General features: G+C 40.8%; 1 protein-coding gene across 6 annotated transcripts in view; it reads right to left on the bottom strand.

Moving 5' to 3' along the window:
* The window catches only part of VSIG1 (V-set and immunoglobulin domain containing 1), a 60306-nt gene continuing 41442 nt past the window's right edge, over positions 4663 to 23526 (bottom strand). For 2 of the 6 annotated variants that reach the window (XM_011530936.3, XM_005262127.5), the window contains exons 3-9: positions 22312 to 22419; positions 19060 to 19137; positions 16713 to 16911; positions 11015 to 11170; positions 10478 to 10597; positions 7629 to 7770; positions 4663 to 6799 (exon numbers count right to left, since the gene is read on the bottom strand). In XM_011530936.3, coding sequence (XP_011529238.1) covers positions 6466 to 6799; positions 7629 to 7770; positions 10478 to 10597; positions 11015 to 11170; positions 16713 to 16911; positions 19060 to 19137; positions 22312 to 22419 — 1137 coding nt within the window. In that variant the 3' untranslated portion in view covers positions 4663 to 6465. The remainder of the gene's footprint in view (positions 6800 to 7628; positions 7771 to 10477; positions 10598 to 11014; positions 11171 to 16712; positions 16912 to 19059; positions 19138 to 22311; positions 22420 to 23526) is intronic. The other 4 variants (XM_047442073.1, NM_182607.5, NM_001170553.2 and 1 more) reach the window with 3 other exon arrangements.

Raw genomic sequence — 23526 nt, 5'->3', positions numbered from 1 at the left:
TAATGATCAGTAGCTAAAATGAGTTTCGTAAACACGAACTGTGTTACTGATATAGAAACTTTTTACAGAAGTATTGTGAGTGCTAACCTTAACAATCAGAGAAGCATCTTATAGAACAAAACTCTATTGAATGCTGGAGATAGACTTGATAGCAGGGGAAATAATATTTCTAGTATTTTTAGTGTGATCAGAGTAAAGTTTTGTCTGTTACAACTGAAGACATTTACTCTTCATAAATATTGAGTTAATTGTCTGAGGTGATAGGTTTCGTGGGTGTAAAAGGAAATTCATCCGAGTTCTTCAATAAGCAATACAGATGGAGCTAAGCCACAGGTAATTTGTAGGCTTTTGGCATTTTAAATGGCATGACTTGTTAATATTTAGATCACAGATTTGTATAAAATAAAGATATTAGTGGCCTCGGATATTGATCAGATTGTTACCTGTGTCTGTAGGAAAGGTGTTAGAGATGAAGCTGATTCAAGGTCAGCAGATTTTACAGTTTCAAAACATAATTTGGCTGGGCATGGTCGCTCATGCCTGTTATCCCAGCACATTGGGAGGTCGAGGCGGGCAGATTACCTGAGGTCAGGAGTTCAAGACCAGCCTGCCCAACATGGCGAAACCCCATCTCTACTAAAAAAATTAGCCGGGTGTGGTGGTGGGCGCCTGTAATCCCAGCTACTCAGGAGGTTGAGGCACGAAAATTGCTTGAACCCAGGAGGTGGAGGTTGCAGTGAGCCGAGTTGGTGCCACTGCAGTCTAGCCTGGGTGACAGAGCGACAATTCATCTCAAAATACATAAATAATTTAATGGTAAAGCTTAACTGAGAATATACGATGGAAGAAAAAGGCCAATGAAAATAGTGAAAACATTTACATTCTTAAATATGTTATAGAGAATTACAATTTCACTGAGGTTTTGGGAACTTCAAAGTAAATCTGTGTTTTTCTTCATAATCTTTGACTTAACATTTAACTGTATGACACTAGTGTTTGATTCCCCAATTTCTCAGCTGTACCAACTACAATGAATTCCTTAGATGGCTGCGTCTGCTGCTTTCTGCTCCCATATTCTGTTACACTACAAGGCCTCCAAATCAATCTGTTGGCAAGTCTGATAGAGTATAAAGATTCTTGACTTTGTGGTTTATGGCTCCAGCTTCACAGTTCTATTGACTGCCTAAAATTGAAAGCAGAAATTTGTAATGTGAATTTCTCTGGGAAGAGGATTTATTGCTTTCATCAAATTCTCAAGGACATCTGTGATTCCCCCAAAAGGTTAAAAATCCCTGGTTGAGACAAAAAAGAATACTGAATCAGTTGTCAGGAGACCTCATTTCTACAACTATAGTTCTACTACAGTTTTTTAATTTATAAGTTTTCACATCTATTCTCACTGTAGTCTTTAAGAAGGCAGAAATCATCTCCATTTTACAGATGAGAATATACCCAGAGCTAGAGAAACAGCCAGTACCAAAATCTAGCTTTCCTGGATTCTAATTCATTTTCTTTTCTGCCTCTTCAAAGACAGTGGACCAAATGGAAGGTATTCTGGCATTTTGAAAATAACCGGTTAGTTGAAACACCTATCCTGGTGCTTTTCTTTAATTTGGCTGTGACGTAATAAGAAATACATATTTGGTCTCAGCCCCCAGTACCTGAAACAGAGCTCCTAAAACCCTTGACAGTTCCTGAGTGATAGGAGTGTCTTACATAGAGCTTCTAAACCCCTTGGGATTTCCTGGGTGATAGGAGTGCCTTTTGTTCTAATGTTGCAACTCTTAGTGGGCTCCTGGATAGCTTTAGAACGGGGGCTATTAGTGACCAAGCCATGATTAGAGGATTAGAACTTTCAGCCCCAACCCCCCATCCTCCAGGGAGGGAAGAGGGGCTGGAGATTGAGTTAATAGTTGATCATACCTATGTGATGAAGCCTCCATAAAAATTCATAAACTACAGGGTTTGGTGAGCATCTAGGTTGGTGACACACCCACATGCCAGAAGAGTGGTACACCCCCACTCCATGGGAACAGAAGCTCCTATGTTCAGGACCCTTCTGGACCTCACCCTATGTACTTCTTCAGCTGGCCATTCATCTGTATCCTTTATAATGTCCTTTATAATAAACTGGTGGACAACAGTGTTTCCTTGAGTTCTATGAGCCATTACAGCAAATTATCAAACTTGAGGTTGCGGGAACCCCCAATTTGTACCCAAGTCTAACAGAAGTGTGGGTACACTGGGCACCCAATACTTGTGATGTGTCTGAAGTTGGGGGCAGTCTTGTCAGACCCAACCCTGGGTAGTGTCAGAATTGAATTAAATTGCAGGACACCCAGTCAGTGTCTGCAGAGAATTGGAGAATTACTTGGTGTGGAAACCCCACACATTTGCTTTCTGAAGTGTTGTGAGTAGTGGAACAGTTTTTCTTTATTGGCATATCTTTTTATGGTTTCCTGGAGCCCTCATTATCATCTCTGAATTATTTGTTTTGTTTTTAAACCAAAGTTTCAAAGACAAGTGGGAGTACTGAGTCTTTATCGATTAGTTTAAACCTTTTATGAGGCCCACTGATGTGTTTTCCAGCAGGTAGACATTGTAAAACAACTTTTTATTACTAAAGCTTGGGTTTGTTTCACTGAAATTAGTAGTTTGGTGCAGTTGAAAAGCATTGCCCTGAAATCCAGATGATGTGGATCTAGTTTTGACTTTGCGTAATCTCAGGCAGATTATTTTACTTCTCTGCACTCAGGGATTCTCCTCTAGGGGCTGGGTGGCAATATATAAGAGTGAACCAGCTTTTTAAAAGAACATTTACCCCTTCCTGTCTCCCCCACCAATAATTTAATTGTACATCATCTCCCACCTCCAGCTTCATCATTGTTAGGAGTGGCCCACTGTATGTGTTATAACTCAGGTGTGCTGGGGTTGAAAAAGTTTGAATACTATTTATTTCAGAGCACTCTTCTAGCTCTGATCAAAGTTGATCAAAACTGAGTTGCCCAGAGTAGATTGAATGGGTGGTAAACCACCTGGTTTGATTTGAGAGGGGCTGAGAAGTTTCCTTTTTTCAGAAATATATCTCCTCTGGATTGTTTAGACTCTTCAGATTAAGGATTATCTGTGCTTGAGTCCTCTTTAAAAGGTAAATACTCCAAAGAAGACTAACTCATTTATCAACCTAATGAGATCACTGAATGATGAAAGATCATGTTCACTGGACAAGAACAGGTTACAGAACAGCTACTTTAGGTCCTGCGCAATGAGTCTTGCCCGAGGGAAGAAGAACTGAGAGGGTCACTGAGCTAATGGGAGCATGAGAATCCTGGGTGTTTGGAAAATAAGATGCCACAAGGCCAGAAATGGCACTGAAAGGAGAGATCCAAAGGTACGAATTCAGATTAATCTCATGTGCTTCCTAACCTTGCCCATGTAGGGTTTCTGCCTGGGCAACATGTACTTCATATTTTTAAATCCAGATTTTTCTATTTATTCCTGTCAAATTCATTTTGTTGGTTTCAACTCCACTTTTGAGCTATCAAGATCATTCTGAATCGTGATTCTTTCTTATAGCCTAGTGGCCATTCCCCCTAGGAGCAAGTCATCCACAAATTTATTAAGTGTACTTTGTGTGTTTTGATCTAAGTAACTGTTTCTTCATCTTGGATTCAGGGAGTCTGTAACTCACCTGAAACTATATGTGACACTTTATGTGTATAAGCATCTTTCAGTGAAGATGAGTTTAGAGTTTTCAGCAGATTCTCAAGGTGTTCCATGACCTCAGAAAAAGGTTACAAGCCACTGATCCAACTATTCATCAGTATTTTGAACAGAACAGTGCTAATAAGGACAGAGCTCTATAAGACTACCAGTAGTGCTTTCTTTCCTGGACTGCACTGATCCATCAAAAATTTTGGGGTGTAATTGTTGACTATTACATGTCAGTCTCTTGCGATTTGCCTCTATAATAAAAATGGAAAGGAAAAATGAATTCCAGCTACTTGGGCATTCTGGTAATTGAGATGTTTACACTGTTGTTTACTTTTTAATCTCTAAATATTAGGTCATTCTTAAGACCTTCATTATTTTGCTTCTTGTGTCCATCAGACACCATATACCATACTATCATATTTAGTATGAATGAAATTATAAATGCATCAGAAATCCCTGACATTTTCTGAAAATGGACGCATCGAAGAAAATGCAGAAATAAACGCTTGCTATCTCTTCTCTCCATGGCTCTAGATAAGTGTAATGTTAATTTCCATTTTAACTCTCCTTAAAACCTACAGAGACTCTACCTCAATCTGTGTATGGTTATGATTTATATAGAAAGGAGTTTGCAGTTTAAGAAAATATTTTACATGAAAATCTGAAAGTGATAAATGAGAAACTCACTACTTTGTTTAAAAAGGATTCACCTTAGAAGGAAGTGAGACACAAAAAGTACATACTGTATCATCCCATATGTATGAGGGCCAAGAAAAGGCAAAGTTAACCTCTAGTGATGGAAAACAATGAGTGATTTCCTAGGTCCAGGGCAATGGTGGGATCGCACAAAGGGGCATGAAGAAACATTTTGGGCTGATGGAAATGTTTTCTCTCTAGATGGGTGTGGTGGTTTCATGGGTATGTGCTCTGTCAAAACTCATCAAATTGTACACTTTAAATGTCTGGTTTATTATACATAAATGCTATGTCAGAAAAAGTTGTTTATAAAAGGACTAGCCTTAGGAGTCACTAAAATGAGACATTATGAGTATTATTTATTGAGCCTTAAAGTAAGATTTAAATATGATTAATTCCACAAGTGAAAAGGTAAGTCTACCTGTAAGTTTCTTCAAGGTGAGATGTGGGTGAAATATGATCATGAGAAAGCTTTTCAACAGGGGAAGAAGAAGTGATATCAGTGCATTTTAGTAATATTAGCATTCATATAAGATTGGTATCGCTTTATTAATGTGGAATGTACAGGCAGTAAAACAGGTTATTTAATTAGTTGAAATTATCTAAAATAGATCTTAAGAGTTCACTTAGAACACTTTTCTGGACTGCCTTTCAAAGTAGATAACATCAGACACAGTGATAACATAATAACTCATTCAAAACTAAATTGTACATCACCTATGATATCAACATTTTGTATTCACTGAAGGAAATTATATTTGAAAGTGTTTGCCTGTACATTATTTGACAAAGTTGTGGGGATTTTTTGTTTTTTGTTTGTTTGTTTTCTGTTTTTGTTTTTGTTTTTCAGATGGAATCTCACTCTGTCACCCAGGTTGGAGTGCAGTGGCACAATCTCGGCTCACTGCAACCTCCACCTCCTGGGTTCAAGCGATTCTCCTGCCTCAGCCTCCCAAGTAGCTGGGATTACAGGCATGCACTACCACGCCCAGCTAATTTTTGTATTTTTAGTAGAGAAGGGGTTTCGCCATGTTGGCCAGGCTGGTCTCGAACTCCTGACCTCAGGTGATCCACCTGCCTCGGCCTCCCAAAGTGCTAGGGTTACAGGCAAGAAATTGTGTTATTTTTTAAATTTGCCATGCTCAGATATTGGATACCAGGGTGATTTCTTGGGAAATCTAATATGAGGAATGAAGCATTAATTATAAGACCTGATTTTAAATGCTACGTACCAATTAATGTATACCCTTTACATATTCTCCTCTATTGTATTTGGAGAAAATTTTCCAATCTATGAGATAATGCTGATGAATTATTTTCTTAGTGGTCAATATAAAAATGAATGAGGAACTATTCCTAGAAATAATATTGAATCTAATTAATGCCACCTTGTCATATGTGCATGTGGAACATAAGAGTAGCTAAAAAGAGGCCGGGCGCAGTGGCTCATGCCTGTAATCCCAGCATTTTGGGAGGCCAAGGTGGGCGGATCATGAGGTCAGGAGATGGAGACCATCCTGGCTAACAACGTGAAACCCCATCTCTACTAAAAATACAAAAAATTAGCCGGGCGTGGTGGCACGTGCCTGTAGTCCCAGCTACTCAGGAGGCTCAGGCAGGAGAATCGCTTGAACCCAGGGAGCGGAGGTTGCAGTGAGCCGAGATCGCACCACTACGATCACAGCCTGCGCGACGGAGCAAGACTCTGTCTAAAATAAAAAAAAAGAGTAGTTAAAAAGAGAGAAATAATATTTTCTGAAATAACAACACAGGTACTGTTGCAAAACTCAACTAAGTTAGAAATCACTTGCCCTGTCATTTGTTATGCTTACGTGTTAGTAAAATTGTTAGTATTCTATATTGGTAATACAGGAACCCTTGCTGATTTAGCTGTTATCTTGGCGTGTTTATTCTGGATTCATAGTAGGAATGAGCACCTTGTTAGAAGAAGGTTGGTCAAAATGGAAGGAGGAGGTGGAGGTTGGTTAGGTTATTTGAATTCCAAATGGCAGTAATGGGTTCCTTAATGATTAATGCTGTACTTAGGCCACCAGCCTATGCCTTAACCACTCCCTTTTCATCTTCACTTAAGGGCTCAACTACAACCCCAGGCTCTGACTCTGGCTCTGGCTCTGGCTCTGGCTCCAATTCCGACTGCGTTTCTGGCTCCAGCTCCAGCTCGATGTCAAGGTCAGGCACTGCCATAGGCTCTGATCCTGGGGCAGGCTCTGGGGCAGGCTCCTGAGTAGGCTTTGGCTCATAGTCTGGTTCTTGGATGGTATCAGGGCCAGTCTCATGAATGGAAGATGGTAGAGTTACTTCTAGTTGGGTAGCGTCTTCTCTTGGCATTGCTTCGCTTTCTCCCCTTGGGTTTATCTTTGTCATTGGCCTGCAAGAAAGAAGGCCCAGAAAAGAACAAGTTAGGGAGATGCTAACTTTGAAATTTCATGTGAAACCATATGTTCTGTAGCTTCAATGACCATAGGTCCCAGACTTCAGGAAATCTGTTATTTCTGATATTCTGACTCATTGTCAGGCCATAGGTCATTTTGGATTCAGAAAGGTTAGGTCTCAACAATATCATGAAAGTTTAAGAAAGAGCAGTGTTTCAAGGTGGGAAAATAATGTCAGAATGAAAGAGTCTAAGAATCTAATAAGGTCTTTAAGGTCCAAATTCATAGCTCTGATGTATCGCTATTTCTCACTCCATCTAGTACAATACTTGGCACCTGGTTGATACCCAATAGATAGTTGTAGAAGCAAGGAGATGAAAAAAAATGAATGAGTGAGATACACACTAGGAAAGAAATAGAGTGATTAAGAGCATGAGCTGTGGGCTGGGCCACATTCTAACTTCTGTGTTCCCTGGGCACTGTCCTTGTGGGTCTCTTGTTCCATAAAAAAATTTAAAATTATATTTCATGACTATGTTGGTATTAAGACAAGTATGTTAGTATTATATATGAAAATGTTTTCTTGGACCTAAAACTGTTGTGATAGCTAAATGAGTTGATGTACATAAAGTGCTTAGAACAGAGCCTGGCACACAGCACTCAATAAATAGCAGCCATCATCATTCTTTTTTAAATTCAATGAGAGTAAACAGAAAGATACCTCTGATATCTTATACTAAAAGGAGTGCTTAGGAATTGATGACTGAAAAAGACATGCCTGAGAAATGTTTGTATTCAAGTAAAGACAACAAAATGAAGGCTTACTCAAGTTCCGCGATGGTCTTAGAATTTCTTTCTTTTGCCTTTGCTTTTGCCTTATTCCTTGCGAAGCACACAACAGAGATGATGATGGCGGCACCTACCAGGCTACCAATCAAGGCCCCAACAATGATTCCAACTTCTGGATCTGAAGGATACAAGCAGCTGGTTAATAAAGTGGAATATATTGTCATTTTATAATGTGTGTTTGTGACTAGTGGGGAATATCAGGGCCATTCACATAGTGGGAAAATGACTTGTATAGGCTAGGGAAATGGAAACCCCTAGAACTCTGTCATTTGGACTCACAGTGGGAGAAGACTATTGACATTTGTGCACATAAAGAATAAAATGTGGCCAACTTGGAGGAGGTGGGGTTGCTTTTGAAATGGGATTTAGAGAAAAGAGTCTTGAGACACCATGGAGTTGTGATCTGGTCACTAGAGATAAGCCTCTGTTACAGGCAGGAACATTTCACTAGGCTTTCCCAGAGCACAGGTGAAATTGGTCCCTAAAAACCTCCCCCATGGCGTCAATGCTTACGAAGGAACCTCATGCACTCTGGTCACTGGGAAGTGATATGCCCATTTTGATAAACAGGCATCTGGTTTATTGTCTCGGTCTATGGACAAACTTAATGAGTGGGACATTATCCAGCTGAGCACCAGACCTTCAAGCCCTGAGGTGTTGTCTCTGGAAGACCACATCTGGGTTATAAGCCAACCCAACCCCATCTGCCTCCCCTCACACAAGGATGGACACCTTATATTTTGAGCTGCCTGATAATAATTCCTTTAACTTTTTATGATTAAGAGAATATAAGTAAATAGTTTAAAAAGTCAAATAGTTCTACTACATGTCTCACAAAAACAGCAGTTCCCTGCCCGACTCCTTCCCGTTTCTGAGTCCCATTCACGAAAGGCAACCACTCTTAACTCTTTTTAAAAGTCTTCTTGCCCCCATGTTTTTATTATGTTTGCTCTGATATGTCCTACCTTTTTTCCATTCCATCATTTTCTTTCAACTTCGTACCCTAGAAGTTGGAGATTGAGCTCTTTTACACCACTCCCCTCACACCCACCATGTTCTTCCAAAATAGTTATATCACAAGTTTTAGTTAAATCCAAGTTTGCAGTAGTATGGCTATATAAATATTGTTCACAGCTGAGGAACACAGTATACTATGATTCTTTCTTGTACAACATTTACAAAAATTTTCCCGGAGGTTAATAATTGCTTCATTTGGGGATTAATAAATGCATTATCACTCATCCCGAAATTTCCAACAAAACCATTAAACTTCTTTCAATTGATTCAAACATATCAGATGATATATCAGTTTCTTGTGATTTTTCCCTCAGAGACATGCCATGTGAAGCCCTCCATTCTCTTCCCCCATCATGACCTGGTTGCTCTCCTAAGCCTGCTGCTCTACCGTCATGCTTCAGCTTTCCCATTTTATAGATGATGAGGCTTTGCAAGTTCCTTCAAGATCCTGCTCAAATAGCACTTTGTTGGTAAAGCCATCCCAGTTCTATAAGCATAATTTTCCTCCCTTGGTGCTCTATAGACCCTGTTCAGACTTCTATTATAGGATTTAGCATGTTTTAGTTGTGTTTGTCCCTCTAGCTGAACTGTGAGCTCCTTGAGTATAGGACATACATCTTCTTTATCTCTGTATCTTTATCACCTAGGACAGTCCCTGGAACACAGTAGATATTCAATAAATATTTGAGGAAGGAAGGAAGAAAGAAGGGATGTGGGAGGGAGAGAGGAAGGCAGTGCTGGACATCATTGGAAAAAAGACTAGAAAGGAAGCAATGCTCAAGTCCAAATCCTACATATCTCTACATCTGCAGTATGATTGTACCTCTGAGAAGGCAAAAAGATATTGAGGGAATTCTAAAGAAAGATAACAGAAATGATGCAGGAAATATAGCTGAAAGTGATATGAGAATAAAGGAGCAAACTTCAGGAGAAATAAAAGGAAGAAAGTTCAGGTGCATAGGAAGAGCAAAAACCCACTGGAACTTGCCATCCCTGGATATGGCATATATTAAAATCACAAATTCAAAGTAAGTTTGAAAAAAGATCCTAAGTGTTATTAAGTGATCCTTGAGATGTTTGGTGAGATATTCCTTGTGAGGAGTTGCCCCTGGGTCAGCTCAATTGGACAATTCCAGGAGTCTTAAATCTTACACTCAGAGAGTGAGTAAGCACCTTCGAATAGGAAAATTGAGGTTTAGAGGCATCCTGGCTCTGCCAGTTACTAACTGGATGACCTTGGGCAAGTCATTTACTTCCCTGAGCTTCAGTGTTCTTTTCAGCAAAATGAGGCCGACAATAGTCTGCCTCCCTAGATAGGGGTGGTTGGGAGGAAAGAGTGAGATAATACTCAGCATAATTCATGCTCCACAAATAGTAGCTACCGTGATTGTGGGTACGAGTGTTATTATTATAATACTATTATTATTAGTGGCAGATCTTTGCAAGGTATATGTTTGTCAGAGCTACAGTGTCACCTGGATTTACCAACAGCATCACAAAGAGAAATTCAGCCTGCTGTTATCAGAAAGGCTTCTTTTTTAGTATTGAATAGTAATACCTACCTTCTAGCGATTTTGTGAAGCAAACAAATTGCTTTTTGTAAAGGATTTAGGGCAGCATATGGCATATATTATTATGTGAGCATTAGATATTAGGATGGTCATTCATCATATCAGCCTGTATATAAAGCACACAAATCTCCAGAGAAGCAGGAAGCACTAACTGGGGATCCTAACTAATTTATTTGTCTGACAGGCCCAGACTACTTGATTTAAGGAGAAACCGTTAAAGTTGTATGGTCAACTCACGTGAAGAAGTGAGATCGATTTCGCAGGAACTATTGCCAAGTCTGTTGATGGCAGTACACTGGTAATAACCTTGTTCAAAATTTGTCAGATTTCCAATGACCAAAATCCCGGTGGTTGGGTCTGTTGAAACCAGGGAATAGACTTTTGAGATCTCTTCTGTGCATACAGATAACATCAGTGTAACAGATCACTCAATGTCCACCCACTCCCCCATATTGGCCTCTCTTTCTTGAGATGTTCAGGATTCAACTAGGCCCCTCAGGACTGTTCCAGTGCTAACTCACCTGGGACCATGCCTGTTCCCTACATATTCACCATCTCTGAGCTGGCTTTTAGAATTTGGGGAGTAGACCAGAACACAATCATCGTGTTGGGAGACAGGCATTCTTTTTACATTACCAGCCGCCCCCCTCCACCCGCCACCACTGAGAAAACAAGAAGATTGAACTGTAAGGTCAAGCAGCCAACCACACACTCCTGCTGTCATCCAACCACAGACACCAGGCCTTTCCAGGGTCTACTGCAGGTTACACTTACTGAAGTTTTCTTTCACTGGCACGATGTCTCTTCCCTCAAGTTTATGCCAGTAGTACACAGGGGAAGGTGTTCCAAGCGCAGAGAGACAGGAAAGGGAAATAGTGTGGCCAGTTTCTGGTCTTCCTTGAACGCTACAAAGGGGCTTAGAAGGTTTCACTGTAAGGCAATGACAAAGAATAAAAATTCTTTAGGATGAATGGCATTCTGTGACAATTGCAGTCACTTCCTCACTTTCATTTTGAATAATATGTGTGTTTATTTATTTTTAAAAAAAATTCTTGGCCAGGCGCAGTGGCTCATGCCTGTAATCCCAGCAATTTGGAAGGCCGAGGTAGGTGGATCACCTGAGGTCAGGAGTTCGAGACCAGCCTGGCCAATGTGATGAAACACCATCTCTACTAAAAATACAAAAATTAGCTGGGCGTGGTGGTGGGCGCCTGTAATCCCAGCTACTTGGGAGGGTGAGGCAGTAGAATCACTTGAACCTGGGAGGCAGAGGTTGCAGTAAGCCAAGATCACGCCACTGCACTCCATCCTGAGCAACAAAGTGAGACTGGGTCTCCACACACACAAAAAAAATTATTAAAATGTATGTTGGCAGTTTTCTGCTTGCACCACCAGGTGGGAGTAGAGCACTTCAGGTGCAGGGCCCTTCTAGTCAAGAGGCCATTAAGATTCAAATAGTGACTCCTCTGTCTGCCTCCTCCTCAGATTTATAACCATGAATTTCCGCATTGTGTCTTAAAATATGCCTTTATTAAAACAGCCAAATATAAGCAAATACTAAATGACCAGGAATATAGTTTATGCTTTAAAAGCACAGTTTTAAAGGAAAATAGAATCCTTAAATACTCTGAGATAACCTATTATTCTTTTTAAAATATTTAATGCTGTATTTCTCTTTTCTCTCATGATTATTTTCTTTTTTTTTTTTTTTTTTGCATTTGTTCATCTGTGGGTGACACAAATAGTTGAAAGGTTTAAATTTGCCTGTGTGCATCATCAGTAGGGGAAGTCCATTTGGGGGGTGCACGCTACTCAGCACTGAAATATTTATTCATCCTTCACTCAGCAAGCACCCATGCCTTCTGTGGGCCTGGCATGGGACTAGGCACCAGGAATTCAAAAGTAACTTTCACACAGTTCTAAAGTGGGGTGGGAGAGGGATGAGAGATGACTTTAGAGAGGGGAAGAGGCCTCCAAGACCACAGCAGGAAGAACAGGTTTTAGGTGAAGGGGTGACAAGGAGGAAGGGGTACTAATGAGGTCAGTCCGGGACATAGAGTTTTAGCTGCTTATGAAAACATGTCAGGGGAGAAGTCCTGTGGGAAGCTGGGAATCTGAATCTCCTCATTCATCTTACTTACTTGCACGGTTTATTCTATCTTACATATCTTATACATTTATATATCTATCATATCTACATATCTATCTTATATCTCTTATCTTAGATATTTATTTTATATCTATACATCTATCTTATACACCTTATATATCTATCTTATATACAGACAATGATGTAAATTTCTATACTTTCCAACTCACCTTGCTTATCTTCATTTTGCTCTAGAACCCTTTAAAGCTTAGGTTCTCTAATTTAGGTGAGTTAGACATGAAATGTGTCATATTACTCAGTCCTACAGCTCTTACCTGAGACGCAGTGGTTAAGGGCACAGCTCTGGATCCACACAGAATACGGGCTTTGTAACTCTACCCTGGATCTGTATAGGCAAGTTACCTAACTTAGCCAAACCTCAGCTGACTCATCTGTAAAACGTGACTAAGAGATTATCTAACCTCTGGCTGATCCAAGTATTAAATACAATAATAAATATAGGGCCTAGAACCTGGAATTTCTGTTGGCCACAGCAGCACTAATTCCTGCTACTAAAGTTACTCTCCCATTGACTTCCGCTCAGTTCAGCCTTCCCAGACTCTCACTATCTGTACACAGGTGCGAGAAGACAGATGCATATAGCTATAATTCTTAAACAGTTTACTAGCCCTATCTTTTAAGCATGTGTCTTTTTAATTGAAAGGAATATCCTTCTACTTAGTTCTTTATTCTTTCTTATCAAAGATTTTCTCAGGTAGGAACAACTTGTTGGATGTGCCTATCCTAAACTAAGCTATTTAACCAGAAGTCCATTGCAGCTATCACTAGATTTAGATACTGCCTTTTTAAAAAGATGGCTATTGTATAGCCTTTACAGCAGAATAGAACAATTTGAACAGAAAATTAAATGGGGGTGTTTCATCACAAAGTTGGACACCAGGACTTGAACTAAATTATGGCAAAAACCTGGAATGACTTGCACTCATTTCTTGAGCCCAGAATCAAACCCAGATAGGCATTTTTTTTGCTTAGAATATTTTTCTCCTTTTATTTTTTATTAACAAAACATTTAGTGAATCACTTTGAACCAAGTCCCAAACCTATATATTTTCTAAAACTACTGACCCAGGATTGAACTGAAATTTCATCCAGTTAAAGTCCCCAGTGGAACTTGGGTATTTTACTGGCAAAGCCATTGATCTACCATTTAGCTTTATTGCTTTCAACAGAATTGGGGTGGGAGGAAAAGGCTCAGCTCAGAAAAAAAAAGAAAAAAGAAAAAACAAAGTGCTTCAGTAGGTTCTTAAACCTTCCCTAAATCAATCATTTTCTTTTTATGTGCCAAATTGCGGAAGGTAGATGATGCTCATTCCAAATGCACACAAAATAATTATTCAAACTTGATCTGGGTATTTTTCAGAGATTAATTTTCCAAGGTTGTCATACCTAATGGAAAGCTCTCAAATGAATGGCCATCCAAACCACCTGGTTCTTTGCCCATTGCTGTTTCCTTCACCTAAACTGTGCCTTGCCATCTCAGCCCCTCTTCTTCATCACACACTCTTGCACATCCTTCAACATTCAGCACAAAAGTCACTTTCCTCAATAAGCCTTCTCCAATTCCTGATACAGCTTTTTGCCCTTTCCCCTGTGCCCTCATAGCTCTCCTCTCATACCTCCACTGAAAGCTTTTATGTTACGCGTCTGTCTCCTTCACTAGACTGAATTTTAGAGGGCTAAGACCCTATCTTTTACATTTCCCCATGTCCATTGCTTAGCACAGTAACTGGCACGTGTGCTCAGGGTTTGTTAAATGAATTCATGCATGAACGAGTAAATGCATGGGATTGATGCTCACTGCTGGGTAACAAAACATCTGAAAGATACATTGCTATGAGAGTCATCTTTAAGGAAATATCAACACCTCTCCCCACAATTAACCTGTCTCTCTTACCCACCTGTCCCCATCTTGCCTCACCTTTCAGTCAGGGCAAGCAAAATTGTCACTCATATACAATGAGATTTGAGAATTGCAAATAGTCGCTGCAATTTTTAGAGAAAATTAGCAGTCTCAAATTTTCCAAAAAGCCTACATTTGGAGGAGGCCTTTGTTCTTTGCCCAATTAACAAAAACAATATTTTTTAGAGTTCCTAAACAAACAAGGAAATCCACAGACCCTTCTGCCTCTTACCTTGTCTGGATCCTGGCTGCTTAAGGAAAAGTCATGACACAGAGCTATCTGACACAAAGACTCATGGGAAAAAACACCTCTGAGATGAAGTGACCCTCAACTTCTTATGGAAATTGATTTGGGATCCTCTGAGCTTTAAATTTAAGAATATTAACCTTCTTGTCTAACTTTATCTCAGGGCTATTTCCAAGCTCTGAGATGAAGAGACTTGGCTTCTTTAGATTGTTTCTGGTCAGAACATCCCAGAACCAGGAAGCAACAGAAAATCATTAGCTAATCCCTCCAGTTTTTGAACATTTAAAAACCCCTTTGATCTCCAGTATTTCATTTTATAGGTAAAATAACAAAACTGTTCATAACAAACCTGTAAAGAAGACAGGGCAGAAATTATAACCCCATCTCACAATGGTCAGAGAAAGGTGGACTGACTTGTATAAGGTCACTGAGTACAGAGTAAGATCTAAAACTCAGGTCTTCTGAGTGCCAGTTTGATGCTTTGGCATTTATAGCACATCACTTAGTTCCCATGTATATAACTAACTAGTTGATATGGTTTGGATCTGTGTCCCCACCCAAACCTCATGTCAAATTGTAATCACTAATTTTGGCGATAGGGCCTGGTGAGAGGTGACTGGATCATGGGGGCGGATTTCCCCCTCGGTGCTGATCTTGTGATAGTGAATGAGTGCTCATAAGACCTGGTTGTTTAAAAGTGTGTGGCATCTTCCCCTCCCCTTCCTCCTGTTCCAGCCATGTGAGACATCTTGCCTCCCCTTTGCTTTCTGCCATGATTGTAGTTTCCTGAGGCTTCCCAAGAAGCTGCTATGCTTCCTGTACAGCCTGCAGAACCGTGAGACAATTAAACCTCTTTTACTTATAAATTACCCAGTCTCAGGTATTTCTTTACAGCAATGCAAGAATAGACTAATACACTAGTCTTCCAAACTGAAACAGAAACTCTCCCAGGAATTTGCTTGAGTAATACTTCTCTTGTCTGTTCCTGTACCCCAATTCCTGGCACAGAACTCAGTAAGATAAAAATATGATTGATTAAGCTAACCCACTCTTAAAAAATAGCTCTTAGGTACCTTTCCCTCTTTCCCAGGTGGGTAGATGCAGTGGCAAACCTCACAGTAAATGTCAGCTGGTTCCTTTGTGGCATTACCTGAGTGGCAAGCCAGGACAACTGTAAACAGTTCTCTTGGGTATGCACCTTGTTACCAATTGCTGCTTTTCCAAGCTACTCAACTATTAAGTCACTGATTTGATGTAGTTCCTCCTTTCTTGTGATGTGTGCACACAGCTTGAGAGCAGCAATGACTAGATCAGCTTCATTTGGGGCTACCTAGAAGTGGGAAAATGCTCATCTCAACTGGTCTGTCTGTAAGAGTTGAGGATTGGCAGCCCTTTCATCCCTTGCTTCGATACTTCCCAATACCAGCCTGCAGATGGAAGTTTAGCCCACATTGTCCTCTCAGACAGAGATTGTAAGGACTTCTAGAAATGGCCAAAATTGGGAGCTTCCCAAGGGCAAAAACAACACCTCCATCACTGTAACTCAATAAATACTGAACAAATGAGATTCCAAATTCATTTTAAGAGCAGATACGGCTTGCCCAATATCATATAATGAATATTTGTATGTAAATATGTTGATTCTCAACACTAGATTAATTTCAGTCCTTTTTCCAAATAACATTAGCATTTTAAAAAAGGGACTCTCCTGTCTTTATTTAAAAGAATAATTTAATGGTGGGAATTGTGTCGAGCTTAAAAGGAATAATAAGTTGACAGTAGTCTCCCCCAGGTAGATCTGGCTGTAAATGGAGGTTTCCTCTAAAAGAGTTGCTAGTGATCATTTTGTGGGACAGTGGATTGTCTCATCTGTTCTCATTCCATCCCTCAGAGATAGGGATCACTGGAGGTTGGGTCATCTACTGCTGTCATTTTGGCAGCCCGTTTGCACAATTGTTCTGCATGTTTTATGAGTGATTTCTCAGTGTTACTGTTTTGGTTGGGCTGGTGGCTTGTCTCTATTTCCCTGATAATGAAAATATTAGGGAGTATATTTACCTACAGAGACTTAATTGGCATCATAACTCACTGTCCTGGCTCATTCAGTGTCCTAACTTTTTCCAAGAAAAGAAAAAGCAGAAAAAAGTGCTCATACCTAACACACTGACGTTGAGGATGCCTTGGTTTTGGCCGAGAAAGTCTGGGGGGTTGTTAACATCGCAGATGTAAATTCCACTGTCTGCTGGCTGCATATGCGAGATAGTGATAGATGCATTACCTGGATCGTTGGACCCTGTAATTCGATCTTTAAATTGCCCGATGGCTACAGCTTGTCCACCTTGAGAAAAGTAAATCTAGACAGAAAAATAACAGAAGTGAGAACTGGAGAGAGTCCAGGACTAGGATAAGCTACCTGAAAGCTTCTTCTAAACACATTACCTTTGATAAAGAAGCAGCATCTTCCCCCCACCAGGAACAGGTCCCTGTGGCCAAGGTTTCTCAACTCAGTGGGGCACTTTAGTTTGCTCACAGCTGCGCATTTGGCCCTCAGAGCAGCTCTGTGATGTCATCAGGGCAGGGATTAGTATGCCTATCTTACAGAGGAGGAGGCAGCTGGAGCTGACAGGATTCAACACCTAAGCTTGGGCTAGGAGATCAAGATGCTCACTTAATGAATCCACCTGAGAGAAACTCATTATGTAGAACACAAATGTCTGATGGGAAACCAAAACCATCATTTTTTTTTTTTTACCATTTTATAAACTTCTTAAAATTTGAATTTACCTTACCCAGTGAGACTATCTGGTTTCCTTAAATGTTCAAATGTTCATGCTCCTTTTAGACACACCTACTCTTTTGGATAGACAAACTTGGGTTTGTTTTGTTTATTAGAAGCAAAGCGGAAAAGCATCTTAGAAATCATCTGGTCCCATCCCTTTATAGTGGTGTTGTGAAGATGAAACTAAGAAATCTAGTAAAGGACCTCGGAAGTGCTCAGCCAATGATAGCTACCATCTTTCTCCCCATGTGGCAGAAGGCAGAACTGGAATTCTTCTGTCATTTAAACAAATAAGGCATCTCAGACCCAGAGAGATTAAGTGACCCATCTGAAGCCACAAGGGCTCATTTATTATTATTATAACTTATTAAACTTAAGATCTGGATTCTAGTCCCATTTCTATTAAAGAGCATAGATACTTAGATCATAATGGCAACTGTGGGAGCAGCATGATGTGGTGGAAAGGGTCCTGGTCTAGGGGTCAGGTGGCTTGAGTTAGTCACAGCTCTGCCCCTCACTGTGATATAGTTAGGGGAGGTGGCCTCTAGTCATGCCTCCATGGCAGCCTGGTTTTAGATAAGAAACAAAGTTATTTAATCTCTCCAACCTTTACTTTCCACATCTGAATGAGAAAAGAGAGTAATGTTTTCCAAAGTATGATATGTATTTACCAAGTATAGGCATTTAAGTTGATTTTAGGTAGTATATAAATGAAAACTTACAAATTTCAATGTGTATTAGAAACAGAAAAATCTAGCACATTAAATCTATGACTTCCTGAATATTGTTGCATAGGGTAGATTAAGGTAGATATTTTTTAAGATTTTAAGAAAACAAGTCAATACAGAAAATAACATTAAATAACAAATAGTGCTGGTGATACACAAATATGACAAAAATCATGTAGATGGTACATGAATGACTGAAGCTGGGAAATCACTGGATTAGGTAATTCCTGAGGTCCCTTCATAATACACACCTTCTATGTACATGTTTTGTTGGTTTCATGTAAATGTATATTATTCAAGTGATTGTTATTGTTCAATAAACTGTATTGTCTTAGTCTGGTGAGACTAATTTTTCATAAAATCTACTGGAAGGCCTTACAGTTCATTTAATTCACTTCCCTCAGTTTACAGAAGAAACCAAAGCCCAGAGAGGTTAAAAAATAAAAGGCAAAATTGACGGTTGAGACAGATCTGGAATCCAATTTTCCTAATTCCTTGTACTGTGGGCTTTACCTTAACAGGCCAATAAAAGAGGGAAAGCAATTAGAAAACCAAAAGATATTGTCTAGATGAATTCAAATGTATTCTCCTTTAAGCAGAAAGTCAATATATTTTAAAACTAAGGCAGAAAGCTGGATTTTGAGGGAAAAATCCCAGGAAAAGAGTACATTTACAGAGAAAACTATTTGTTTCTCTCCCGTTTTTTCTAACATCAACGTGTTTTCTTGCTTGCATTATAAATGCAGCCATTTATAATTCATTCATTCACACCTACTGAAATCACAAACTCTTGCCCCAGAATGGTCTTGTTTGACTTCCAAACCAGAAAGCCAGGATTAACTCCAGGTATTCAAGTGGGACAGAAGGAGGTTCAATACATCAGAGGATTACTTTCATTTGAGTTGGCACCCACGCTATCAGGCTTTCAATTTCACTAGGCAGCATGGGGCTTATTTACTTTCTAATTGACAGTTTGAGGTCTTGTTGTTTCTTACCTGGAGTTCAGCCTGCTGTCCATCAAGAGTGCCCTTCACAGCCTCAACATCTGGCCACTTCCCCTCCTCCCAAGGAGACTGTGGACAGTGTAAAACATCAGCCCTGTTTTATACTGATGCTTGATGACATCACAATGAGATACAACATCAGTCACGCCTGAGGCCCACAGCAAGTCCCAGAGGATCCAGGTGAAAAGGACCTTATTTCTGCAGAGATCTTGAGGCCAAAATGGTGTGTTTTAGGCCAGAATTAGGATATGAGAAGAAGTAAAAGTGTCCACTGTATCCATGTGTCCATGCCCACTGTAAAAGTCCCATAGTTGGGCATGAGTCAAGGTGAAATGAGTATATAAGCAATGAGGCCCTGGAACCTTACCCATGAAAAAGACCTTTACTACCTCTTACATGCTAGCTCCTCATGCTGTAGTCTAATACATTTTGCCCTCTCACGATTGACACTAAAAGGTATTAGAGACAGAAATGGGGGTAGTGAGGGCTAACAATGGAGACCTAAAAGAGCCAAGGCTTTGGCTTCACAGTTCTCTGTAAGAAGTAAAGTACCTAGGGGTAGACAGCAGCAGCCAGACACATACATGGAGGGGCTTTCTGTTAAGGGGAAGTCCACACAGTCACACTGTCCTTGTAAAGAAAAAAAGAAAGAAGTGTTTTCCTGAAACTGCTTATCTAATCATATAGGAAGGGCTACAACTTGATTCCACTTTCCATAAAAGAATAACTCTTTTAAAAATCAAAGCTGAACAGTGGCCAAAGCCTGGCCCATGATCCTGTGTGGCTTGTACACTTTTCAAAGAAAGAATATTATCAATTTAGACGTCAAAGCAATGGAGATCCAGAAAAAGCCCCGGATGTACAATGGGCCACATCTTTGGGTGGAGGTGGGGAGGAGGTGATTTTTTTAAGGAAATCCATCCCAGTGTTCCCTTAAGGGGCGCTTGTTAATTTTTTACCCACCTGCACTTTGTGCTTGGGTTCATGGTAGACTGCCCTGCTTTCTCCCAAGGTCCTCTCTGCCTGCCCCCAGGGTGACGCTAGAGGCTGATGGGTGGAGTCATAATTGCACATTAATTATAAGACCTCTGTGAGATAGTTTGGTTTGTGGTTTCTAAGGTTAAGGGGCCTTCAGGAGCCCGATGGATATTGGAAATATGGGAAATGGCTGGGAGGGGCTGGTAAGTAGTGGTAAGCTCATAACAGATATGGGGACTGCAGGGAACGGAAAAGTCAACGCAAACAAGGCATTCGAACTGTTGAAACAAACAAACAAAATACTGGGCAGGCCGACTGAAATACATCCACTGGCCAAATCTGACCCAGAGGCCTGCGGTTAGTAAACTCGAATTCATCCTTTTCTAATACAAAAAAAGGACACCGAGGCCTCAATAGAGGGAGCCATTTTCCCAAGGTCACACAATTTACAGTCAGACCTGGAATTCAGACCTTCTGATTCCCACTGAATATATTAAGATGGCACTCACAGTGCTTCTTAAGATGAGAAAGATGATTCCTGGGCAACCTTCTCCTTTTGGGACCATTCCATTCCCTGCTCCAGCCCAACCTTTCTCCTGCCAATTGTTGCTATTTATTGGCATGATGCTTCCCATGCTGAGTATGTTCACCACATGATGCCCTCAATATTTGCCAGCTGCAATTGTAGGCCCCTCAGTTCTTTGCAGAGCAACCTTTCCCTTCCTACTGTGCCAAGTTCCTATTCACACAAGGCCGTGCAGCTGGGAACCAGATTTGTCCTAAAAGACTTTTTCCTCAGCTTAGTGACACTGCTCTCTAACTAGAAGCATGGAGTATAAACAAGAAGGGTTGAAAGAATTCAGTCTGCTTTCTGTTTGAATCTGAGTTGGAGTTAGCTTCCAGAGCTGCTTTTGCAGATTCCTTCTGGGAAGGTGGAGGACATGGACATCCACAGCAAACCACCCATTCTTTCCTTTCCAGCTTCTTGCTTTCTTGTACTGCTGATAGAGGGGCTAGCCATAGGATAGGGAAGGGGTGTGCAGGTATAAGGTGGCAATGGTCACAAGCTCAGAATTTTATTTGGACTGTATTGTGGTGCAGGGATGGCATGTGGAAGGAATGGGATACCAAAAGAAAGACTCTCTTGCTTCCAAACCAACTCTCTTACCAACCCTCCATTTGCCTGGGTATCTGCCATTTGAGTTGCTCCTTTTGGAAGAAGGCATGGAAGGTCCCATTCAATGCATTCTTTAGAAGAGAATAAAATAAGCTTTCGCTAGTCCCTAACACCTTACCATGAGATTAATTTATCAGATTTAGCAGAAAGTGAATGGGACACAATACATAAATTTGATGGTGGGGTGGGGAAGAACTTGCAGTATTTCTCAGTAGGGGTGACACTGGCATTTTGGGCAGACAACTCTTTATTGTGTGGCTCTGTCCTGTGTATTTCAGGTTGTAAAACCTGAGAAGCCAGAGAACATAAGAACACTAGGTCCTGGGAAAGAAGTTGTCTAAGTTGTTTATGAGACTGGCAAAGGGTATTTTTTCACTATGAACATTCTTGAAGAATAAGTATTGTCTGAGAGATTCATGCTAAGCAGAGTCAAGGCATGGTCTGTTCAGGGACAGGTGGGGTCTCTGTAGTGTTAGCATTAACAGACTGGATGGAAGATGAAGCCATCTGTGTGACCAGAAAGGCACCAGACCACCCCAAATTTCCATGTTAGCCTGCCCATACCTGGCCTAGAGTTTTCAGCTGAGATTCCCTGCTGAGGGATTGACTATCTAAAGCTGTTCATATTTTCTGAGAGGAATGTTTCTCTGAGAGAAGGACCATGCTAATGAATATCCTGGCCTTCTTGGTGGGAAGACCTGTGGGATACTTCAGTCTCTGTTCTCCAAAGGGGATAGTCAGTAAGAGATAACATCAGCCCCTAGGTATTGAGGAATACCAGGCCTCAGAGTCAATTGCTAATCTAACACAATGATTTCAGGAAAGGGAAGATGGGACTATGGAAAGAGCTGGCCACTGCCCTGATCAGGGCAGCAATAGGGTCCTGAGCCTTTAGGAAGAGGCAGAAGAACTCCAGACATGGATGTGAGAAGGTAAACTCAAGACTGTCCCAGTTTTGTCAGGGGCTTGTGCTGATCTTGATTGTTACCAAAGTCAGACCCTCCCATCCCATTCCTAAAGCTGGTGCCAGTGCCCTGGAGTCTCCAAACAATGAAGAAGTCCAGTAGTACACCAATAAGTGTTCTTACCTCAGAGGTCCAGCTACATCTTCCCCGAGCGTCTCTTGCGTGCGTCATTTTTAGACACTGACTGACTGCCTTTTCCTCCATACCCTCAGTACTGAGGCACGAGCTGTGCTGTGTTTGAGCAGAAATGGGTGGATCTGAGAGCTGAATGCTATACAGTATACTGCCACATCAACCCAGGAGTTGAACTGAATCTCTCAGTGTGACCACTGATGTCTGGCAACATCTTAGTCCCATAAATCACATAATTGTCTAATAGTGCAGCAGTCTTTTTATCCTCCCATAAATGTTCCACCAGCAATCCCTAGATTAACATACAACATGCTCCACAGAATTTTGAATGTTTTCAAAGAGGAAACAGTCTTGAAATGGAGGCCAAATCCCATTTTGAAAAATACCACCTCAACACAGGATGTCTGCAACCTCTTGGTTGAGCAGGCTGTCAGTTCAGGGATAAGAAGCAGGTAGAGAAAGGGCCTGGGCCCTCCCTTTAGCCACAGTGACCTGGTAAGCAGTGGAACTCGAAGCTGATCTTGGGCTAGTATGGCCCTGAAGAGCTCTGTCCCTGTTCAAGTGTATCTTCTTGAGCTAGGCTCCCTAGTGCCCATGAGTCAGTCCCTCTAGATCACCAGGGGTATGGAGGGAACAGGGATTTTGCAAAATCGCCATTTTGTAAGTGATGATGCCAATAATAAAAGCTCGCATTCACTGAATGCTTACTGGGTAGAAGGCTTCGTAGTGCTTCACAAGCATCATCCCATTTAGTCTTCATATTCAACCTATGAGATAGGTAAGTAGCCCCATTTTAAAGATTGGAAACGGAACAACTGAAAGGTCAAACGACTTGTCTAAGATCACGCAGTCAATAAATAAGTGGCAGAGCAAGAAGAATTGACATTCATCATGAGATTTCCACTAGGACTTCAAAACTACTCATCTGGTAAAGCAGTGAGAAGCCCATGCCAGCAGGATATGGGGAGTCAGGGGAAGGACTCCGGTTCTTTAGAAGTAGAGAGCTAAAAATGGTTGTAATGGGGATCTGGCTAGGGTAAGCTAAAGAAAGACAGGAAAATAGAAGGAGGATAAAATTTGCCTTTAGGGGGATGGTTGTTATTGCTCCCAAGCTGTGGGAGCAATAAAAACACAAAAGCTTGTCTTCTATGCAGCTAAGGCACAGGCGTAACACAGGTATCATGCAGCTTTAAGATCAGAGAGCAT

The sequence above is a fragment of the Homo sapiens genome, chromosome X (assembly GCF_000001405.40).
Source record: "Homo sapiens chromosome X, GRCh38.p14 Primary Assembly".
Lineage (NCBI taxonomy): Eukaryota > Metazoa > Chordata > Mammalia > Primates > Hominidae > Homo > Homo sapiens.
Note: the sequence above shows the minus strand (reverse complement) of the source record. Positions and strands in the feature narration are given on the sequence as shown.